Source organism: Homo sapiens, chromosome 14, assembly GCF_000001405.40.
Source record: "Homo sapiens chromosome 14, GRCh38.p14 Primary Assembly".
NCBI classification, from domain to species: Eukaryota; Metazoa; Chordata; class Mammalia; order Primates; family Hominidae; genus Homo; species Homo sapiens.
In genome coordinates, this window is record NC_000014.9 from 37,992,138 (window position 1) to 37,998,050 (window position 5,913).

At 38.8% G+C, this 5,913-nt stretch overlaps 1 annotated feature.

Annotated features, from left to right (window-relative positions):
- Positions 2,581-3,254: an enhancer, noted in NCBI's record as "NANOG-H3K27ac-H3K4me1 hESC enhancer chr14:38463923-38464596 (GRCh37/hg19 assembly coordinates)". NCBI's record gives its function as "activates a minimal SCP1, AML or CMV promoter by ChIP-STARR-seq in naive H9 embryonic stem cells {active_cell/tissue: H9 hESC(naive)}" and the evidence as "EXISTENCE:reporter gene assay evidence [ECO:0000049][PMID:30033119]".

The window sequence follows — 5,913 nt, forward strand, 5'->3', positions numbered from 1 at the left end:
GTCTTCTTCAGCTCAACAATCTTCGGTATTTTAGAAAGAAATATTTTGGTTTTCTTTAGTGTTATTGACCTAAATGTAAAATTTTTGTTGAAACAAAAAATTTCTAGGGGAAAACACAGGAGAAAATCTTCGTGCTCTGCAAAGGATTCTTAGACACAAAAGTTGGAAGAGCCATTAAACAAAAAGAAATTGCTCAATTAGATTACTTTAAAATTAGAACTTCTTGTGTTTCAAAACGTAGCATTAAGAAATTGAAAAGACAAGTCACTTCCTGGAAAAAAATATTTGCGAATTATCTATCAGATACAGGGCTTGTATCCAGACTAAACAAAGAACTCGTGCAACTCAATAAAAATAACAGAAACACCAAATTTACAAATGGATAGGTTCAGAAAAGATTCTAGTGAGTGTCATCTACAGGAACAGCTACCACTATGCAGTTACAGGGATCAGCAGACACTGATGGGAGCACCTCTAGGAGCCACATAAAGACCTGCTGTTAGCAAGAGGAGCCAAGTGGAAAGCATCTTGTGAGGTTGCTGGGAGAGGCCCACAGGGGTCAATGCATGCTGTTTGTGAACAGCAGCAGGTGGTAAAAACAGATGGTGTTGAGTGCATAATGTGGGTGGGAGTACCTTCTTGCTCACACAACCCCAGCCAACTGTCATCACCATCATGGGCCATCCTCCAAGAAAAAAGGGGTGTTAGCCCCAGTTACCTATTTATGTGTGTGTGTGTGTTGGGGAGAGGAGTGGGAACACAGGGATAGTTGGTATTTTAGCATACATTTCACTGAATATAAAGAACAACAACTTCCTGCCTTGATACCAAAAGTGGTTTCAAGCCCAGAATCTCTGAGTAGATACATATATTAGGCATCTAAATACAAAACAAAACAAACAACCCCTCCCAAACAAAACAAAAAACAGTATAAATTTATGTGAGAGAAGTCTAGGACCTTTGAGTTTCAACCAAGAAACACTTCAGAAGTAGTAAATAAGTCCTGATTGTTTTTTTCTTTGTCCCATTTATTCTGCACAATAATCTCATGGAATAGGTATATTGCAAGGCAGAAAACAGAGACTCAGGTATATAAATTAATGTATCCAGGATTGCACAAGGAGCAAAACAAAAATACAGTTTTGGTTTCCTGACTTCAAATCCTGTGCTTCCATTCTGCCAAGATCTCATATTTTTTGACAAGTAAGATCCAGGAAAGATAATTTCATGTTTCTTAGCAACACACAAATTGGAAATGGTACCTTTAGCCTTGGCAAGACATATAGTGGCACCCCAGTGGGAGTGGGCCTTCTGGGATTCTTTTTTGTGCTTGTGAATAAGACATGATGTTTATATTTTGGAAAAGTCTTTCTGAGCCCCAATTTTCTCTAGAAAATGAAGATAAATTATATTTTACATTAATTAATTAATTATTTTCTGTCTCCTTTACTAGAATGTCACCTATATGAGAACAGGATCTTTACCCTATTCCCTTCCCATAGCACTGAATAAGGACATTTTGTAAATATTTGTTGAATTTGTGAAATAAATGACTATACTTTGTACTTGTCACTGTTACAGTAGGTAGCTAGTCAGACATGAGCGGGGCAGGAGAGAGGTGTCATGAAACCATCAGGTGACAGTCAGGTGGTTGTAAAAATATCTCTCTAACATAATAATTGGTCACAGCCCATGCCAGGGAAAGGCAGATTCCCAATAGACAGAAAGAAAACCCCGAAACTGGTAATCAGCAGCTTCCCAATAAGATCTCAGGAGCTGAGTGAGTGGACTCAAGCATGCACATTAAGGCAAAATGTTAGAGTTTAAGTGATATATGACCTTCCTCCAGGAACAGGGAAAAACTGCCTCAAGTAAGGGAAAAATGCCTCAAGTGAGCAAGCGTACAACATCAGTAAATCCACTTGGCCCCTCCCAAGTGCTGGTAGGCCACTGCACATGTGGACAGCCCATCCCAAGGGAAGAATCAGGGTAGAAGAGAAACAGACCCCCCAAAAGCATGCCAACATATAAAACCCCAAGTCAAAGTTCAAACTATGCACTTGAGTGTCTCAAGTCGCCCACTTGTCCCTCTTCCAAGCATACTTTACTTCCTTTCACTCCTGCTCTAAATTTTTTTTTTTTTTTTTTTTTTTTGAGATGGAGTCTTGCTCTGTAGCCTGGCTGGAGTGCTGTGGCAGGATCTCTCAGTTCACTGCAACCTCCGACTCCCTGGTTCAAGCAATACTCCTGCCTCAGCCTCCCGAGTAGCTGGGATTACAGGTACACGCCACCACACCCAGCTAATTTTTGTATTTTTAGTAGAGACGGGGTTTCACCAAGTTGGCCAGGATGGTCTTGATCTCCTGACCTCGTGATCTGCCCTCCTCGGCCTCCCAAAGTGCTGGCATAACAGGCGTGAGCCACCACGCCTGGCCTCTAAAACTTTTTAATAAACTTTCACTCTGATCTAAAACTTGCCTTGGTCTCTCACTCTGCCTTATGCCCCTCAGTCAAATTCTTTCTTCTAAGGAGGCAAGAATTGAGGTTTCTGCAGACCCATATGGGTTCACTGCTGCTAACATCACCTGAGTTAGTTCTTCAGGGCTGCTGTCACAAAGTGCCACTAACAGAATGGCTTGAACAACATGAATTTATTGCCTTATAGTTCTAGAGGCTGGAAGTCCAAGATCAAGTTGTCAGCAAGGTTGGCTCCTTCCAAGGGCGGAAGGAGAAATAGGCTCTTTGCCTATTTTCTGATAGTTTCTGATGATTTGCTGGCAATGTTTGGCATTCCTTGGCTTCTGCTGCATCACCTTGATCTCTGACTTTGTAGGAAATCAAAATAGTTTACCTCAAAATATATTTCTTTGATATATTTCAAAATGGCTGCCACAGTACCAGCTGACTGAAATTGCCCTGCAATGCTGTCTTTTGTGGGGGAAATTTGCATCTGTAGAAACACTCGTTAATGCAGCCAAGGCTTCCCTTTCTAGGCCTTCCCAGGATCTAGGAAAGATTAACTGAGACGATGACACCTTTTAAGGCCTGAAAAAAATGTTTTCCAACTATTCTACCTGAGGGCTACTACCTGTGAGGCTTCATCTACATAACAAGACCACCTTCGCTGGACAAGCCTCTTCCTTTCTCCCTCCCATAACATGTCTTGCCACTAAAACCTGGTTTACCAACAGAACCTGGTTTTGGGTTTTTGGCCATGCTTTTTCTCATTCTGTCTATATTCTCAAAATAATATATAAGCTTCTGTAACTTGTTGGGGAATTGAGTCTTGATTCTGAAAGCTCCCATGTATACCGTTAAATTCATGTGCCTTTTCTCTTATTAATCAATCTGCCTCATGTCAGTGATTTTTTCAGCAAACCTTTAGGGGGCCTTGGTGCCCACAACTTAATTTCCACATGAAATTTTCCCTGTGTGTGTGTATGTGTCCAAATAGCCCTTTGTTCTAAGAAATTACAACAGTTCTATTGGATTAGGTATCCTTATAGGCCTAACCTACTCCAGAATAACTTTATTTTAACTAATTACATCTGCAATGACCCTGTTTCTAAATAAGGTCACATTCTGAGGTTACTAGGAGTTAGGATTTCAACATATGAATTTTTGGGGACACAATTCAACTTATAACGTCACACAAACACACAACTGAGTAAAATATAGTCCTTGCCCTTGAGGCCCTCACAAAGTTCCGAAACATGACCTAAGAAGCAGTTCATAGGTTTCAAGTAACAAATGGATTTTGTGCAGTTAGAGGACCTTTTAAAATTTTAAAGTAGACTTTAATTTTCAGAGTAGTTTTAGGTTCACAGCAAAATTGAGAGGAAGTTTTAGAAATTTCCATGTATCCACTCCCCCCACACATGCATAGACTCTTATGTTACCAACATCCTTCACCACAGTGGTACATTTGTTATAATGGATGAACGTATATCATTATTACTGAAAGAATATAGTCTACATTAAGGCCTGCCTAATTGAAACAGAGTTTTGAACTGATTTGGTTTTTACATTTTAGGAGAGAAAAGCAAGTGGCAGATTATGAGGTGAAAAGTATAATACATCAATGCTTATTTTGAAAATAGGCATTGTTAGGTTAAAATGAAATGTGCACATGGGACTGAATGCTCCTAAGTTCCTTTTCCTTAACAAAGGAAAAATGCATCTAATTCAAATTGATACAATTTTGGAAATAACCATGGTTACTAAAATGGATGCACTTTACACTGATTGAGAGAAAGCATTATGACAATAGCTGCTCTTTTCACAAGAGCAAATCTCTTCATGCAACTAAAAATTAAAGAGTCAGCCTATGATTTTAAGCAACAAATTTCAGCCTGAGACTATTCATTTAAGCTAAGCAACATGAGGGCTGCTGAGATTTGGTAAACACACAGACATGTACTTCAATGAGGGAACTGTGTGATGAAAGCACGACACAATGGTTTAGAGAAGCGGAATAATATGTTTTTATTTAGTACATTTATTAGATATGGATCTAGAGAATGGGATGATATCACTAATTTCAGACATAAAGACTGTTAGACATAAAGAAACCTGAAGTTCTATTAACTGAGTTGTTGTCCACCATTATTACCACAGGGTATTGATTTTGGGAATATCCACAAACTACAAATACATTTTGTGAAAGAAAACTGACGTTTATTACTCTTAATGAGTTTCCAAAAGTCTGGGGTTGTATAAAAGTGAAATTCTTGTAGTTGAAGGTGATGCTATCACAGAGCCAGGGCCTCTGGAGCTCTGTGGCTTTCTCTGGCTTCCTGAAGGCCAGGGGCACAGGTCACAGCCATCCAGACCACACTGGCTGCTTTGCTTGAGTTTATACCTCACTTGTGGTGAAAGTCATTACCTTATGTTAGCATCTGTATTAGTCTGTTCTTGCACTGCTATAAAGAAATACCTGAGACAGGGTAATTTATAAAGAAAAGGGGATTCATTGGCTCATGATTCTGGAGGGTGTACAGGAAGAATAGCGGCTTCTGCTTCTATGCTTACAAACATGGCAGAAGGCAAAGTGTAAAATTATGGCAGAAGGCAAAGGGGAAGCAGGCATATTTTTACATTGCTGGAGCAGGAGCAAGAAGAGATGCGTCAAATAGGATGCAAATACAGAGTGTTGTTTGATTTTTCGTGTCTTTATTTAATAACTTTTTCAGCAAATATGCATTGAGTGCTATCTATGCACTATCTTCTTTGAAAATCTTTCTTACTTAATTTTAGGGAACTCTCCTAACATGATAGGAGGATGTATTTTAAATACTAGTCACAATGCACATGCTAGAGAATATATATATATATATATATATATATATATGTAATTGACCACTTTGTACTTCTAAAAATAACACTTTTATAAGTTTTGGTATGCACACATACATATACACAGGACTGCAGCTATACAAAATTTTGCATTTACAGCCATGGTTTATTTTATGTTTGTTGCTTATTTCTATTATTTTCACAATTATTTGCATTATGGCTGAGTTAGCTATTGCTATGTAAAAAAGAATTACAGAATCCCAATGACATTAACAATAAACACATACTTATGCTCCAGGTCTACTGGTCTGTTTCATGTAATCTTTTAATCTCCTTGGACCAGCAGACTCCCTGATGCATGTTCTTGTCATGGCAGTGTCAAGCTGCAAGGGGGCATGCAACACATCTTAAGGCCTAGATGTGGAATGGACGCAATGTCACTTCCAACACGTCATTCCATTAGCCAAAATATCCAAGACATGGATACAAAGAGGAGGTGACGAATTGAGGCCAATAATACAATCTACACCATGGCCTAATATTAAAAAGCAATAATTTGTCTTTTTATATCACTAAAGTGTTCGAGGAAAGTGCTTTCCAATTAGGAAGGGAATCATC